This window comes from Homo sapiens, chromosome 14, assembly GCF_000001405.40.
Source record: "Homo sapiens chromosome 14, GRCh38.p14 Primary Assembly".
NCBI lineage: Eukaryota > Metazoa > Chordata > Mammalia > Primates > Hominidae > Homo > Homo sapiens.
Genome location: NC_000014.9, coordinates 50,919,239 through 50,937,212, shown reverse-complemented (window position 1 = coordinate 50,937,212; position 17,974 = coordinate 50,919,239). Strand labels below are relative to the sequence as shown.

General features: G+C 40.5%; 1 protein-coding gene across 2 annotated transcripts in view; it reads left to right on the top strand.

Moving 5' to 3' along the window:
• PYGL (glycogen phosphorylase L) overlaps positions 1–17,974 on the top strand; it is a 39,267-nt gene that overhangs the window by 7,271 nt on the left and 14,022 nt on the right. For both annotated transcript variants that reach the window (NM_001163940.2, NM_002863.5), the window contains 5 exons: positions 2,028–2,106; positions 5,437–5,540; positions 13,113–13,244; positions 16,146–16,257; positions 16,590–16,672. In NM_001163940.2, the coding sequence (NP_001157412.1) occupies positions 2,028–2,106; positions 5,437–5,540; positions 13,113–13,244; positions 16,146–16,257; positions 16,590–16,672 (510 nt within the window). The remainder of the gene's footprint in view (positions 1–2,027; positions 2,107–5,436; positions 5,541–13,112; positions 13,245–16,145; positions 16,258–16,589; positions 16,673–17,974) is intronic.

Sequence of the window (17,974 nt, the reverse complement as noted above, 5' to 3'; positions counted from 1 at the left end):
GTTTTCATGAATATATTTAACTTTTTCTTTCCTGAGCTTCAGGCACCTTCATACCCAAAACAGGTAGCCCTTAACCTTTTTGATGTGGTTGAAAGGAGAAATGTGTATTTGCAAAGACACATTCTAAATGAGAGACTGTTCAAACTTTTCATTTCCTTTGCCATGGGATTGTCCCCTCATGTGTCCTTCGCTCAAGAACAAATACGTCTACAACCAGGTCATAGCTAACTCACATACATGTGGGTTAGGTGGAGTATTTCCTGTGAAAGAACCCCTGCAGGTCCTCTCCATGTCCCTTCCCTCTCCTTCCCCTAATATCAGCTGAAAATAACATCTCTCCCTTGGAGTAGCCTATAGCCAGGCAGGGTGATGTGATCCATGTCTACTTGCTCAAAATTTATATCATACTTTTTTTTTTTTTTGAGACGGAGTCTCGTCCTGTTACGCAGGCTGGAGTGCAGTGGCACGATCTCAGCTCCCTGCAATCTCCACCTCCCAGCCTCAGCCTCCTGAGTAGCTGGGATTACAGGCATGCACCACCTTGCCCAGCTCATTTCTGTATTTTTAGTAGAGATGGGGTTTCGCCATTTTGGCCAAGCTGGTCTCGAACTCCTGACCTCAGGTGATCCACCCACCTTGGCCTCCCAAAATGCTGGAATTACAAGTGTGAGTCACCGTGCCAGCCTATATCATGCTTTAGACTTACGTTTTTAGAATTTAAAAATTCTGAGTGTTAGCACCAGCAGTTGGCTTACACCAGGAACCTAGTAAGCTCTAATCTGCAGAGAGCAAATTTGAAAGGCCCTTTAACACTGAACAGAAGCATAACCAAGGTTGAACTCGTAAGATACAGTTGTCAAGACCTGTGTGACAGGTAGGAATCCAAACAGGTGCCATGGAAACGGGGGCACAACTTCAAGCACTGGTGCATCTTCCACATATGTCTTCAAATGTGCAAATTATTTTTCCATTTAAAAAAAATACCCAGTTTCATGGGTTGCCTAACTTCAGATAAGAACCCAGTTGTTTCACAGTAGGCCACCTTTAGCCATGCCTGGGCTAGATTAGCATCTAGTCAGGATGGAACAAGTCATTTGCCTGACCAACAATTCTTTCATCGTAAAATGAGCAATCCAATGTGATCTCCAGGGCTGCAGAGCTCTGTCATGGGTGCCCAGTGGTGCTGTGGACTCTGCTGTGTGATCCCCAGCACTTTGGGGCAGGGAGCTAGCTGGCAATCAGTCCCATCCGTGCCCAAGTTCACAGATGCTATTTGGCTTCCCACAGCTTCTTATCCACCCCAGGGAAAAGTAAAGGATTTTACCCCATCCAGCTGGATTGCAGGACTGCAGTTTCCCTGCCTGCTGTCAGGACCCAGGTCTCCAGGGCAGTAACCCACTAACTGGTTTTGAGTTGACAACTTTTGACCCTACTGAGTAAATATGCTGTGGTCATGAAAAGATGAACTTTAGTCCATTCTGGAACGTCTGACCCTGAGACCTTTCGGTCATTTTCAAAATCCCTCAGTCCAATTAATATCAGCTTGGTACTGGACTGTTTCTGAGGTTTTAACCCTACTGTACACACACACACACAATTTTTTTTAATGATAATAGCTAACATTTATTGAGGGATATCTGCCCAAGAATAGTTCTAAATGCTTTGTTTGTATAATCTCATTTAATTCACGGCAATCATCAGTGAGGTAGGTACTGTTAGCCTCCACTTTTTTAAATAGGAAAATTGAGGCATAGAGTTAGTAGCTTGCCCAGGGTCATGTAAGAAGTAACAGAGTCAATAATGGACTTTTAGAGCTTACACTTTTCTCCATGCTGCAGCTGCACCATCTCATACAGTTTGCCTCTGCAGTCAGTACCTGATGCCAGAACAAGCTGCAAGGGAGCTGACGCTAGATTAGGTACACAGCTAAACCTGAATACCTTTACCCAGAGCTGTAGGAAATGGCTGTCCCTCTGAATGGCCTGAATTTTTATCTGCTTCCAATATTGTTTTCCTTTCATTACCAGCTTGGATTGGATATAGAAGAGTTAGAAGAAATTGAAGAAGATGCTGGACTTGGCAATGGTGGTCTTGGGAGACTTGCTGGTAAGTGACATTGTGAGTGTATTATATTGTCTGGCCGATTGAAGACATCTCAGATGCCATGCATGACCATGCTTGCAAGAACCAGGCAGGCTTCCTAGAAGAAGCGCAAGGTATGACCTGGTTGTAGATGTATTTGTTCTTGAGTTTGCACTTTGGTTTGATCAATTCTAGACAAATAGTAGAGATGGGAACTTGAACAAAAGAGACACTGCTTAAAACTCAGTTAACCAGATCCTTCCTATGCACTTAAGAGTATGTTAAATGTTAACACACTAAAAAATTTATTATGCTAGCACCCCCTTTGATCACTACCCCAGTTCTGTGCTCCTCCCTATAGGGGGTCATAGGGAACAGTTTAGTATTTAGAATTCCAGACCTTTTTTCTGCATATTCATTCACATTATATACATATGTACACACAAACACACACACACATATATATATATACACACACATACACACACATGTAAATGTCTGGAATATATATCTTCCAGACCTTTTTTCTACATATTTACACACACACATACACATATATATATTCATAGAAAATATTTAATTTTTTAAAAAATAAATGGTATCACACTGTATGGCTTTAATACAATGTGATTTCTTTTTTAGTTTGGAGATCTATCCAGTAAAGTACGTCTAGGTCAAAAGTAGTGTCTTTACTTCACTATTATTTGTTCAAAGCTTCTCAATTCACATCCTTGTGTGGCATGACCTAAGTTAAGTTGCTGTTGTTTTATTTTATTTTATTTTTTCAGTGGTAGACTCCAGGTCAGAGGCATGACCCCAGTTGGTCAACCATTGTCTTGCCTTGTGCACTTGACTGCTTGATTGACTAGTGGGCAATGATACACTAATATTATTGGTATGATTTTGTTAATAATGTCCTTTTTGTGTGTGGATACAATTTGAGTTCTTTGCTTTTTTCAGGGAATAATTTTTCATCAAATATATAGGAAAGCACTAAAAATACAATACCAGCTCCATTAGTTTAGAAAATACACATCTCTATAACCAAGTAATTCCACTTGATATCTACCCTAAAGAAGCACACACATAAGAAGACATGTGGGGAAAATAATTGTTACAGTGTAGTTTATAAAAGTACTACACTGATTGTTGAAGAACAAAATTGACCTAGATGTACTTTCCTAGCTAGATCTCCAAATTAAAAGCGAAATCAAATTGCATTAAAGCCATACAGTGTGATACCATTTGTTTTTTAAAAATTAAATATTTTCTGTGAATATATATGTATGTGTCTGTGTGTGTGTAAATATATAGGAAAAAGATCTGGAAGATATATATTCCAGACATATATGTGTGTGTGTGTGTATATATGTGTGTGTGTACATATGTATATAATGTGAATATGTAGAAAAAAAGGTCTGGAATTTTAAATACGAAACTGTTCCCTACGACCCCCTGTAGGGAGGAGTGCAGAACTGGGATAGCGATCAAAGGGGATGCTGGCATAATAAATTTTTTTGTCTGTAACTTTTAATATTTTTAAGGAAGATGCATTAATGTATTATTTGTGAAATTTAAATTTAATAATAAAAATGTACTACCACACATGTATCAGATTGTATTCTATGAAAAATAATTATCTCCTCTCTTTTAGAAATTGTTCAAAAATCTTCTGATTTTGCATACACCCAAGTTACTAGAAAGCCATTTGCATCTGTTTCATTTTTTTCATCCTTAGTACATTAGTCACAGTGTGCTTTAACATTGTCATTAATAATGAACAAAACAAAATAAAACAATGCCTGTGGGATACTTGCCACCTTCCTGTGAAGTTAATTATCAGACAATTTAGTAGGCTTTCTATGGGGCTGCAGGAAGGCCAGCAGTGCTGATGCACATCTGAGAATAAGAACCAGCCTGCCTACCTTTTATGTGAAGCCCGAGCCCTCAGTCTTTGTTAGCTAGGTTAACTCTGTGTCTGACATTCATGACATCGCTCCTTGAGTTGACTGATGAAGTCAGAGTGAAGAGGCTGATGAAGCTGAGAATTCTCATTAGATGATCTCATCTAAGTTGGGACCCCCTCTAAAGATAATCTGATCAGGACTCAGGAAAAGCCGAAGAGCCACAGCTCAAAGAGAACAGGAATGGGAGCAGAGCCAGGCCATATGTGAGCACAGGGATTGGCGATGTAAGAAAAACTTGAAAGCCTAGGCCATTTGTGTTTGTGGATCTCTGTTTTAAGGGCTGTACCACCAACCTCATTCAATCCCTTTCTGTTTGATCTACAGCTTTTAATATTCTTGTCAGTTTTAATTCCTACTGTACACTTCCTCATTCTGTGTATATTTCTCAGCTTAAATTCCTGGGAGGGACAATCTGATTAGTGTAACACCTTAGTTTTCATCCAGCCACAAGACAGATCCTTACCCAGCCTGTTGGTTAACTGTTCTGGATCAGATGCCCTGTCATTAAATAACAGAAAACCTAGCAAAAATGCTTCAATCAAAAAGGACATGTGTTATCATATAACAAGAACTCCAGAGGTAAGGCCATTCCAAGACTGGTTTATTCAGCAGCAGGAGTATAGCAGGACTCCAGGTCTCTGGTCCTTTTGTCTTTCCCCTCATGGAAAAAAGACAGTGGCAGCAAGGAAAATCTTTCCCAGAATTCTCCTATACCCAACAGACTTTCTAGCACCACTCATCTGATTGAATGTCATTGTATGCCCACGGAGAAGGAAATACAATTGCTATGATTGGCTTAGCAGATTAGACCAATCCAGCAAGATTCACTTCCTGGTTCAGCCTCCCTGAAGCATATGATCACCTAATATCTGAACAACAGTGGAATTCCATTAGCCAGGAAGAAACAGAGCTGGCCACAGAATATCTTGTCAGTCAGTTGCTGGAAGGGAATGGGACACATATAAGTTATACTCTCCTGGGACTGTCTTTTCCAGTGGGGTGAGTCTTAGGGGAGGATAGAGACAGCTTCCCTTAGAAAAGGCAGTGTGGGGACAATAATCGACATTATCTGGTGCAGGTTGGCTTCCTTATCTGTTCTCAAACAAAATGTACACAATAGTTATTTCTAGATGGTGAGGTCATAGATGAGATTTTCTTCTTTATACATTTTTGCATTTTCTAACTTTTCTATAGTATTAATTTTATAATTAGAAATGAGTTATTTTTAAAAATCAATACCCATTGTGCAGTAGTATCTGTGCTTTAGAATACAAATGTGGTTCTTCATATAACAATGTTTTGTGGCTGCCATGTGTTTTAGGGAAAGACTGGAAATTTTGGCTCAGCTTAATGACTCTATCTTTTGCCTGTGCTCTGTTGAATGTAGCCTGCTTCTTGGATTCCATGGCAACCCTGGGACTTGCAGCCTATGGATACGGCATTCGGTATGAATATGGGATTTTCAATCAGAAGATCCGAGATGGATGGCAGGTGTGTGAGCCATCTTTTTAAATTTTGTCATTAAGGTACTTCTCTTTCATGGTGCTCTGGATGATTTATAATATATGGACCTTTAACATAGAGCTGTACTAATTTCTCTGGCATTTGGTTGGTATCAGTGAGTTCTATCTATCCATCTTCCCACTTCAGAATGTATGTTCCCCAAGAACAGAGAGCCTTCCAGTATCACTCATCACCAGATCCATTGCACTGAGGGCAGTGGCTGACGCACAGGGTGCTCTGAAAATATATATCACTGACTGCCTGATTGTGGAGCACCTACAATGTGTGATGTTCCATTCTCTGCAGCAGTCATAATGGAGGAGCACATCTTTGACTCATGATCTCAGCCAAGAACCCTTGATGATAGGAAGCACATTGCCATTTTGTAGGTGAGAACACTGAGTCTCTGAGGAAGTAAAGTTACCTCAGATCACACTGCTGGCCAATACATGTCTGTATCCCCAGATTCCCAGGACCATATTCAGTATTCTATTCTACACTCAGAGTCTTGCCTTCTTTAATATGCTATGGTTACAAGACACAAACCAAGTGTCCTGATTTTTTTATAAGATGAAATCAGACAGTGTTGTTAACTGTTATAGCAAATAAATCTGGCACACATTTAATATGTATAATTACACTGCCCCATAGAAATTTGTACAAATCTATCCAAATGACACTACTTTTACTTTATATAATCAAACCAGATTGTTAGGTACTTATTTTTTTTTTATCTCTGGTAACTGTTTGAGTCTACAGTCGCCCTAGTGTGGACAGTTTTTGCTAATACTAAGTGTGATTTAGGCTTCCTCTCTCCCTATTTTTGTCTCATACATACACCATTGACAGAAATATATATCTTCAGTTTCCAAAAAACTTGAGCTCTCTGAGCCTTTCCCACACTTATGAGATGAGTCCAACAAGAGAACGCTCAGGGACTGGATGCAGAGACCTAGGCTGTGCCAGGATAAAGGAAGATAACCCTATGAGAATGAGTTTAGTGTCACCACTGCCCTCTTTCCCCTCCCTCAGTATTTGGATTCTTTGTGAACCAAAAAAGGGAGGAACTAAAAAATTTGGTTTGATGAGAGAATGTGCCAAGGAAAAAGACTCAGGAGAATATTAGGGATAGAGTGGAAGACAAACTTCCACATTTTGCTAAGGACCAGAGCTGTTTATCTTTAGCTACCCCCAAATAAATAAAAGCTGAGAGGCAGCATCTTGTAGAAGAGAAGCCTGGGTCCTAATTTCTCATTTGAGACCTAATGTCAACTTAGGAGACCTGATTACTTTTATGAGGTATGCTGTCTCAACTAGGTTACCAAACTTCCCTGAACCTCAGTTTTCTCAATGGCAAAATGGAGATACAAACTCTACAGAATTATTATAAAAACATGTAAAATATCTGGCACACAATAAAATGCTAATATTAGTAAGCACACAATAAAATGCTAATTTTGCCTAAGAAAAGGAGGATGCTTTAATAAATTGTGCTATTCTATAATAAAATATTAGTGAAGCCATTCATATTATATTTTTAATTAATTTTAACAAAATAGGAAATCATTGTGTTACCTATAAGTAGAGGATATAGAGTTATAAGGGTAATAAAACCTCAGCTATCCAGAGAAGGCCAGAAAGATAAAGGAAAAGTGCTAGAAAAAAATACATCAAAGCTTCAACAGAAGTTGTCTCTGGAAGATGGGCAACTTTTACTGTCTTCTATGTACTCTTCTACATATCTCATTTTCTGTAAGAAATATATATACTATCTTCTATTTACTCTTCTACATGTTTTAGATTCCATAAATAATGTGTATTTTGTAATCATTAAAAGTTATAAAAATGAAATAGGTTGTTCCTCTCCCCAATGGAGTAACCTAGAGTTCCATGTTGAGAGCCTATTTAGCAGGCATGTCCAGGACAACCAACACTTTGACACAACCTAACCAAACAACACATGGTATCTAATTTTAGCCTTGGAAAAGGATACCATGCGCTACTCACTATACTCCAGAATTTCCAAGGATCTCATTTCTTATCTCTTAACTATTATCAGATGGAAGATTTAAAAGAAACTCAGAAAACAAATCTCAATTTTTTTTTTGTCTCAGGTATATTTTCCCCTTACGTTTTATGAAGGGTCACTGTTATCACACCTACCTTTGCTCTTTTTAAATGATCTTTGTTCCAGGAAACTATCTCTTTCTCTCCTATCAGACCAAGAAAGCATGTATTCCAGTGTTCTTTAAAAAGAAAAATAAAGAAAGACCAAATAGGTTTTGCTCATTCAAAATATTGCAAAGCTGGCCAGGTGCAGTGGCTCACGCCTGTAATCCCAGCACTTTGGGAGGCCGAGGTGGGTGGATCATTTGAGGTCAGGAGTTCGAGACCAGCCTAGCCAACATGGTGAAACCCCCAGTCTCTACTAAAAATACAAAAATTGGCCAGGAGATAGTGGCGCGTGCATGTAATCCCAGCTACTTGGGGGCTGAGGCAGGAGAATCACTTAAGCCTGGGAGATGGAGGTTGCAATGAGCTGAGATAGTGCCACTGCACACCAGTCTGGGCAAGTGAGTGAGACCCTGTCTCAAAAATAAAATAAAATAAAATAAAATAAGATAAAAGAAAATAAATTCCAAAGCTAACCTTATCAACCATCATCACTTCTTTCATTATGACTTGAAATTGAATCAGAAGGGTATATAATTTTACTTACCACCTCCATTGTTTACTGGGATGGGATTTTAACCGTCAAACATAAAATATATCATACCATAAAAAAGAAATTATTTCCATAAAAAGCAAAATGCATCTGTCAAGAAAGCAGCAGGCCTTTTCAGAGTATAGTCATGCCCCCACTCAACACGTAACACTGTTCTTACAAAGGCAGATTTGGAGAAGGCTGATGAAAATTCCACATGCTGGGAAGATTTTTAAAGGTTGATGGGCTTTTAATTTTTGAGTCTCTTCAAGGAAGATTTGCAGGCGTGGAGTGTTCATCGTGCACCCCCTGAAATTGTGTTGCTAAAATTCTATATTTACCATCTCCTCTCATGGGGAGTGCAGTAACAGTCCTCTATGAAAATAGCTGGCCTAGGAGGAAGTGGGGAGAAAGACAATTGCAACAACCTCACAGAAGTTTCACAATCACACCAAAGCCCTGGGTGGAAAGGCACTCACAGTATGTATCTCGGAGCTGGATCCAAGTGGCTTCTGCAACCCTTCTCTTGCCTCTTAGCACCCACACCAAGTTCGTAATAGCCAGTCATGCGTGATTCACATTACCCAGCAAGCTTCTAATTATCACTGTGGAATTCTTGGTGTGCCACAGAAACATTTATCAGTTATTATAACATCAGAAAGCCAAGTTCATGGGCTCTCCTGATGACTGTTCACTGGTTCTTTGTCGACTCTGTATCCCACAGGTGCAGAGAAGAGCATTTCTTAGAATTCAGTCAACAGAGTCCCCTGGGCTGACCTCTCCATCCCTGCTGGCTGGGACAGATTCCATTGAGTCATTCCTCTAAAGAAATGCCTAGTCCAGCTGCCACCTGCACCCAGGTTGGCTCTTTTACTCCACAGATCCACGCTTGCTTTCTTCAGCCCCGTGCAGCCTCTGGGATGAAACAGCTCTGACAGCTCACTTGGATGTAGATGAAAGTTCTCCCACCTTGGCCCCCCACCCCTACCCCTTCATATGATTGGCATGTTAGTGCATTTGGGGATCACTGGCTACATGGAAACCTAAATTTACAGATCAATTTGTCAATTCATTGGAAGAAAGCAAGGTAGAGAGAAGGTTTATCACCATCTTGCAGCTTCTGTAGATTTAGTGGAGGCAGCAAGGGATAGTTCTCTCCTCCTCAGATCTACTCAGGTCAACTTGTTATGAAACGCTTGTTTCTCAATCTACCTTAAAAACAAGCCTTATAAAATTGATAGAATTATTCACCAATTCTTTATTGAATCAGCGGGAGATTCACAATAAAGAACAGCAAGCAAATAAACTCTCCTACGAGTTGTTAGCCCCATGAAGCTAAAACCAATCATTTACTTGGCAGGAAAAAAATTCAACCAACATTTGATGGCATTAAGAATCTCATGTAAGAGTGTACCCTCAAAAGAGCAAATGTGGCTTATCGTGGTGGCTCACGCCTGTAATCCCAGCACTTTAGGAGGCCGAGGCAGGCAGATCACTTGAGGTCAGGAGTTCAAGATCAGCCTGGTCAACATGGTGAAACCCCGTCTCTACTAAAAATACAAAAATTAGTTGTGTGTGGTGGCGGGCACCTGTAATCCCAGGTACTTGGGAGGCTGAGGCAGGAGAATCACTTGAATCTGGGAGGCATATGTTGCAGTGAGCCAAGATTGTGCCACTGGACTCCAGCCTGGGCGACAGAGCAAAACTGTGTCTCAAAGAAAATGAAAATAAAAATAAAAAGAGTAAATGCAACCTCTGACTTCCACAGGAGTCAGGGACTGAGCCCACAGGAGGAAGTTCAGTGCCCATCCTCTCTTATCTGAGCATTTCAGGCTTCTTGGGGGCAGGACAGTATATCATCCTGCTGCATTTCTCAGCAAAAAAATATGTCATCAGTTCTCCCATGGTCATGAGTTTTCAGAGGAAAACTGTTTCTGCCTCATCGTCTTCCTATTTCATACAATACCTTCAGATGGGTTTTACAACAGCCCTGCATGCTGAAATGAGGCAAACAGGCCTATGGTTCTTTCCTGTTACAGGAAGCAGTGTTCACATTGCTCAGTATTTTAAAACCCAAAATTGGCCCTTGCCTAAGTGCAGCATAAAGTATTTTGTAAGTCAAGATGTTTTGATCCTTTGTTGATGTCATCATTTTATTTATTATAGCATTTCTAGTTATGAACCCAAGTTAATGGACTTTTTCTTTTTTTTTTTTTTTTTTTTTTTTTTTTGAGACAGAGTCTCACTCTGTCTCCCAGGCTGGAGTGCAGTGGCACAATCTCTGCTCTCTGCAACCTCTGCCTCCCAGGTTCAAGTGATTCTTTTGCCTCAGCCTCCTGAGTAGCTGGGATTACAGGTGCCCGCCACCATGCCCGGCTAATTTTCATATTTTTAGTAGAGACGGGGTTTCACCATGTTGGCCAGGCTGGTCTCAAACTCCTGACCTCATGATCAGCCCACCTCGGCCTCCCAAAGTGCTGGGATTACAGGCGTTGCCACCACGCCTGGCCAAGTTAATGGACTCTTTAACAAGCTTCTTGACAACTGGCAAACTTCAACTGTTTCTTTATTAAAATTTTATTTTATTTTATTTTACTTTATTTTTTGAGATGGAGTCTCACTCTGTCACCCAGGGTGGAGTACAGTGGCATGATCACAGCTCACTGTAGCCCTGACCTCCCGGGCTCAAGCAATCCTCCCACCTCAGCTTCCTGAGTAGCTGGGACTACAGGTGCACACCACCACACTCGGCTAATTTTTAAATTTTTTTTAGAGATAGGTTCTCACTATGTTGCCCAGGCTGCTCTCAAACTCCTGGGATCAAGTGACCTTCCTGCCTCAAAAAAATTTTATCTTTGTTCTCTTATGACTGGGATAGCGGAAGTTTAGTTTTTAATTCTGAATTACAGATTACAGTTATTGACTTTGCATTGCCTTGTAGCTCTTGGCTGCTCTTTGTGGGGTTCAGGGACCAGTAGAATCAGGAGCCCCTGGGAGCTTATTAGGAATGCAGAATTTCAGGCCCCTCCCCAGACCTACTGAGAATCTGCATTTTAAGAAGATGTGACTTTCTGACGAGCTCAGATCTCTCTCCAGCCTTCCCTAGGGTTCATCTTGCATCTGATACCTCCTCCTTCCTCCAGTGGCTCTCTAACTCCTAGCTCTTCCAACTAAAGATGTTGTTGCTATGAGTCCCATTTCCATTCATCATTACACTGGTAGTTAATATTAGTGGGAAGCTTACTGGCTTTCTTGATAAACAACACTATCAAAATTTGAATAAGTGAACTTGTATTCATTTCTCTGGCTGTTGACAATAATGGTTAGTCTAAATTCTCAAAAGATAGTGGCTGTGTTTATTTTTGTCTCTTCACACTGTTCCTGAGACAGGCATTACACTCATGTTTAGGTGATCATGAGATGTCCAACATTGTGTTGTAATTCTTAAGCAGTATCTTCTAAAACTAAAGCTGAGTTTTCTAAGAGGTGAATATGAGGTATCAAATAGGTAAAATAACCATATTGGAGATTATCTCATTGACAAAGCTGCTTTGTTTACCCCCTTCTGGCCAGAACACAATTCCATTTTTTAATGTATAGTCATGCACCACATAATGACATTTCAGTCAACAATACAACACATATGCAATAGTGGTCCCATAAGATGGTAATGGAGCTGCCCCCTGTGGGTGTACCATTTCTTATGTTTTATACTGAATTTTTACTGTACTATTTCTATGTTTAGATATACAAACACCATCGTGTTACCATTACCTATAGTATTCAGCACAGTAACGTGCTGTACAGGTTTGTAGTCTAGGAGCAGGAGGCCATACCATATAGCTCAGGTGTGTAGTAGGCAGCACCATCTGGGTTTGTGTAAGTGCACTCTGTGATGTTTGCACAATGACAACGTTGCTTAAGAACACATTTTTCAGAATGTATCCCTGTCGTTAAGCAATCCACAACTGTATGTGTCATATTTTAAAGGTTTCAATAATTTAAAAATACATCCCCCTCCAATGTGTTTGGTGGTGGTGGTGTTCTTATTTTGATGTGTTTGTTTGTTTGTTGCAAATGAAAATGTATTTGATGTCCAGGATATCCTAAATAGAAACCATAGTTTAAAATCGTATATAAGAAATATTTTGTTATAAATTGACATAAATACCTAGGAAAATATTGAAATTGTCAATAAAATAAGTTCATTACCTCTTGGAATATGTTATTTTCAAAATAAACTATAATCTATAGTTCATTATCAAATCAAAATTACATAAGGATTGAGATAAGCAAAGACTACATAATGCAATAATGTTCTGTACCTATACCAATAAGCTTGATTAAAAGAGTGTTCTGTAAGTAGCATTTTCTAACTGATTCTGTATATTCTAGCCACAAGAATCTTGACTGAACCCTTTGTGTAGGACTCAACAGGCCCAGGTATCCAACGATAAACATCCCTGTAAGGCGTCTGTCTTTAGCTGAAGCTGGACAATTGGATTCACAGACGTTAAGACAGAGGCTCTGGAACACAGAGACCTAAGGGCAGATCTTATCTCTATCGTTTACTGTTTGACCTTGAGATCTTATCTCTACCGTTTACTATTTGACCTTGAGCAGTTACAATTCCTCATCTTTAAAAGAGGATTAAATGCAGTAATACATATAAAATATTTAGAGCTGTATTAGCGAGTATTATTGTTGATGTAGGCTGTAAAAAAGTTACAAAACAGTACTCAGTATTCATAAGTTGTTTCAGTTAAAGATGTTTTAAATTTAATATAATATAATTGAAGTGCTAGGTTCATATTTCCTGACAAATAAATTCTAAGCAATACTGTATCCTTTTGCAGGTAGAAGAAGCAGATGATTGGCTCAGATATGGAAACCCTTGGGAGAAGTCCCGCCCAGAATTCATGCTGCCTGTGCACTTCTATGGAAAAGTAGAACACACCAACACCGGGACCAAGTGGATTGACACTCAAGTATTCAGAGTGCTCGTATAGCCAGCGTTTTGTATAGTATTTAGTACAGTAGATAATACATTGACTATGTAGCATATAGTGGTGATATTGAGTATAGGGCATGTCGTGTTTTGAATAATAGAATATATTTTTGTAAATAAATCTGTTACTTCTCTTAGCGCAGCCCAGTCATTTTGGAGACAAAGGAGCTGAGGCCAAGAGAGGAGTGACTTTTATAAGGGTCATTTTGCAACCAGCTTTGTCAGAAAATTGTCAGTTCTTTTTTTTTTTTTTTTTTTTTTGCCAGAAAATTGTCAGTTCTATAGTAACCAGCATGCTTACCTCTTTGGTTTTATATTAAGGTGTTGATAGCAAAATTGAATAATTTGAAATGTCATTCCTGGCTGGGTGCAGTGGCTCACAACTGTAATCCCAGCACTTTGGGAAGCCGAAGCGGGCAGATCACCTGAGGTCAGGAGTTCAAGACCAGCCTGGCCAACATGGTGAATCCCTATCTGTACTAAAAATACGAAAATTAGCCAGGAGTGGTGGCCCATGCCTATAGTCCCAGCTACATGGGAGGCTGAGGCAGGAGAATCGCTTGAACCTAGGAGGTGGAGGTTGCAGTGAGCTGAGATCATGTCGCTGCACTCCAGCCTGGGTAACAGAGTGAGACTCTGTCTCAAAAAAAATAAAATAAAATAAAATAAAAATAAAAGTTTGCAGTTTACACAATCAATCCTGGAAGCATTTTATTTACACTGTGGGTCCCACTGCTGAGCTAACTTGCATTTACAAAACACCTCTAGATACTGTCATAATGTATCCAGAAATTCAATTAGAGAGAGTGTGTGTTTCTGGGCCAACAGAGGCAAGGTTAGGGGGCAGAGGTAATATAAGTGAGCTGGCCCAAGCCATGCAACTTAGCCTCATAGATTGAAGTCATCACATGAATTAACCCCAAACTGGTACCCAGTGATGTCAGAGCATGAGTCCAGATGTGCTCTGTGCGTGCATGGGATGGCTTCCAATAAAGTCAAATGACACAGTCACGTGTCAGTTTAGGTCCTCTAGGAAACAGACACCAGAGAGAATGAGAAGTGCAAGTGACATATTGGGGGATGCCTATGAAAGACAAAGGGGAGAGGGAGCAGGATGAGGTGGGAAGGCTTCAGACTGTGACACAGGTGTGCCACCTGTGAAAAGTGAAGGGGAAAGAAGCAGCATTCTCAGGGAGAGCCTCAGACCACAGTGCCACTCTGAGCAAGTGGCCAGGCTGATGGAGCCTGACACTAAAGATTGCCCATTAGAGAAGTCTCGGCCCTAGTGTCCCAGCCACATGGAGTGTCCCAGAGAGCGCAGCTTTGGTGTGAGCTCTGAGGGAGCAAGTCCTCTTTGAGGTTCTCTGAAAGAAGATCTAAGCTGTGCACTTCTTGGGCTGCCTTAATTATGCTTCAAGGGTCAGAAGGGTCCAACTCTTGTTTGAACCGAGACTCAATCCCAGCCTGCAAATGACTTTCCCTGATTGATTACAACTTGCTTTAAAAGTCCAGAGACTTTTATCTCTTAATGAAAGATATTTAAATGAGGGTGATTTATTACTTTGAGGTCGCGGTGATCACGAAAGTATGACTGAGTATATGTGATTGATATGGGCCATAATGCTTCATTCATTCACAATTCAGCAGACCAAATTAAAGAGATGCGTGTTTAAGTTTCAATCCTGCCATGACTGTGATCTTGGGCAAGTCACTTCTCTCTCAGCTTCAGCTCCCTCATGTCCAAAATAAGTGGGTTGCACTAAATGAGATCCAGCATCCTCCAGTTCAATTATTCTGTCATTCTCCTTCCTTCGAGCTTGACTCTGATGAGGCCGGGAATAAAAATGAATGATTTCTCACTTGAATTTTCGATGCACTGTGAAACATAGTTAATCTTCCTCTTCTCTATTTCAGTGACTGTCACAAAGATCAAGCTAGATTTTCCAAAGCTTACCTCTTAGACTCAACTCAGCTAATTATCAGCTGATTTGGCAGATCACTGTAGGAATCACTAAAATAACTCCTTATGCAACTTTAAAAATCTAGCATAGCATTTTAAATATTATATGAGATGTTATAGCTTCATAAATTTCCTATTCCATTTACTTTCATCATACTTGAAATCAGATCACTGAAAAACCTATGCAAAACATATTCTAAGTGCTATTTTTTGGTGGGTACAGATTCACAATGTCACTTTGTTTGCATATCATATTTTATTATTATTAGAGCAATGGCTTTATCTGAAACATGAAAGATAAACTTTTTTGGCTGGGTGCAGTGGCTCACGCCTGTAATCCCAGCACTTTGGGAGGCCGAGGTGGATGGATCACGAGGTCAGGAGATCGAAACCATCCTGGCTAACACGGTGAAACCTCGTCTCTACTAAAAATACAAAAAAATTAGCCGGGCATGGTGGCGGGCACCTGTAGTCCCAGCTACTCGGGAGGCTGAGGCAGGAGAATGGTGTGAACTTGCAGTGAGCCGAGATTGCACCACTGCACTCCAGCCTGGGCAACAGAGTGAGACTCCGTCTCAAAAAAAAAAAAAGATAAACTTTTTTGAATACAAATACCATATCATTCCATTCCACTGCATTTATATCAGGGCAAGGGCACATGGAGAGTCAACATAGAAATACTGTAAAGGACCATCAGTGTGGATGGTTTCAGTCACTAGATTGTACCAGGTCGGGGAGGAACCACATGTTCCTCTAATACCCTCTGCAGCCCTGAGACCCTCTTCTCCATTTAGGCCTCACACAATTTAAGTTGGTAATGGAGCCAGGAATAGAATTCCATTGCAGTCTCCCAGCCCCTTGTTCAACCTATGTCATCACACTTGGGAAACAATGAGCAGCTGCTTCTGTTTAATCCCACAGGTGGTCCTGGCTCTGCCATATGACACCCCCGTGCCCGGCTACATGAATAACACTGTCAACACCATGCGCCTCTGGTCTGCTCGGGCACCAAATGACTTTAACCTCAGAGACTGTGAGTACAGCACAGGCCTTGGTTTCTTTATGCGTGTGCTTAATCTTTTTGATTGGTAGTTAGAACCAAATTGAGCTTGAAACAAACAAAAAAGCCTTGAGTTTCTGATCTGAACTTCACTGACTAAGCAGGCATTGTATGGAGGAAGTAGGGAGGGCATTTTTAAAGCAATTCTCATGTGAAGTCCAGCATGACGGTGTGTTGAAATCCTTTGGGATTTTTAGGAATTTTAGGAATCCCACATGACACACAGCACAGAGCCAGTGAGATCAAGAGGTTTCCAACAACAATGGCTGGTTTCTCTATTTATTGTTTCTCTAACTTTCCCCTAGTTAATGTTGGAGACTACATTCAGGCTGTGCTGGACCGAAACCTGGCCGAGAACATCTCCCGGGTCCTCTATCCCAATGACAATGTGAGTGATCAAGGTTGCTTTCTTAGTGGCAACAGAGGCAGCTTATTTCACAAGAGCCTGTTCAGTAACCTATAAAACACATTTAATATTGATGTTTTTCCATGTGCAGAACAAGCTCCGTATTTCTTCCTGAATTGTGTAGATTTCTCCTCCCAACCAAGTAAGGAAAACAAATCTGTATAGTGCATGAAATCAGAATTGGTATTTTGCCCTTGATTAGTGACCCCATCACTAATTGGGAAGTTATTGAGATGTATTTTAAAACAAAACCTGGATATAAGAGATGAAGTAAATCACTGGTGAAGCACTGCCTCCTTTCCAGATAGAAATTTTATCTGCAAAGTCAGAAGTCACTGAATATTTTCTGCCTCGCCTCTTCTCTCACTGACTAGGCTCTTTCTGGTCCTCTGCCCTGATGCTAGATGGAGTTAGAGACCCTGGGGCAGACCCATGAACAAACATCTGTTTCTTCTGCCACTGACTTGTATCTTTTTCTTATAGTCAATTATTCTAATTTTATTGTAAATATAGCTTAGTTAAAAAAAAAAAACACTTGGGGCCAGGTGCAATGGCTCATGCCTGTAATCCCAGCACTTTGGGAGTCTGAGGCGGGCAAATCATTTGAGGCCAGAAGTTCGAGACCAGCCTGGCCAACATGACGAAACCCTGTCCCTACTAAAAATACAAAAAAATTAGCCAGGTGTGATGGTAGGCGCCTGTAATCCCAGCTACTGGAGAGGCTGAGGCAGGAAAATCGCTTGAGCCTGGGAGACAGAGATTGCAGTGAGCCGAGATTGCACCACTGCATTCCAGCCTAGGTGACAGAGTGAGACTCTCTCAAAACACACACACACACACACACACACACACACACCACTTGGAACTGGATCTCAGATAACTGCTATTGATTCTTGGTTGTTTTAAATATATGTAACTCTAAACTTCTCTATGGGTAAAATCATTTTCATGAAGCTGTAATGATTTTTTTAAAGTGGTCTCAGAAGCAATAAAATTAGCACTCTGCTTTACAAAGATGGCAGAAGACAAGGATCTTGGGGGGACTAGGACATAAATAGTCCTTAATACCAGATGTCCACCTGGTGTTAAATCATAATCTCTCAGAAAGGAAGATGATTATGTGGATTTTGCTGGAGCATTTTTAGGAACCTAATGGTATATGCTATTATTCCTTTGTGGAAAACATTGTGGCTTCAGTACATTTCAGAGAAATCTCTAACCCAAAAGCAAAAAGTTATTCTATGTCAGGGTCAAAGTAAGAGTTCTTCCAAGTCTGGGACCGTA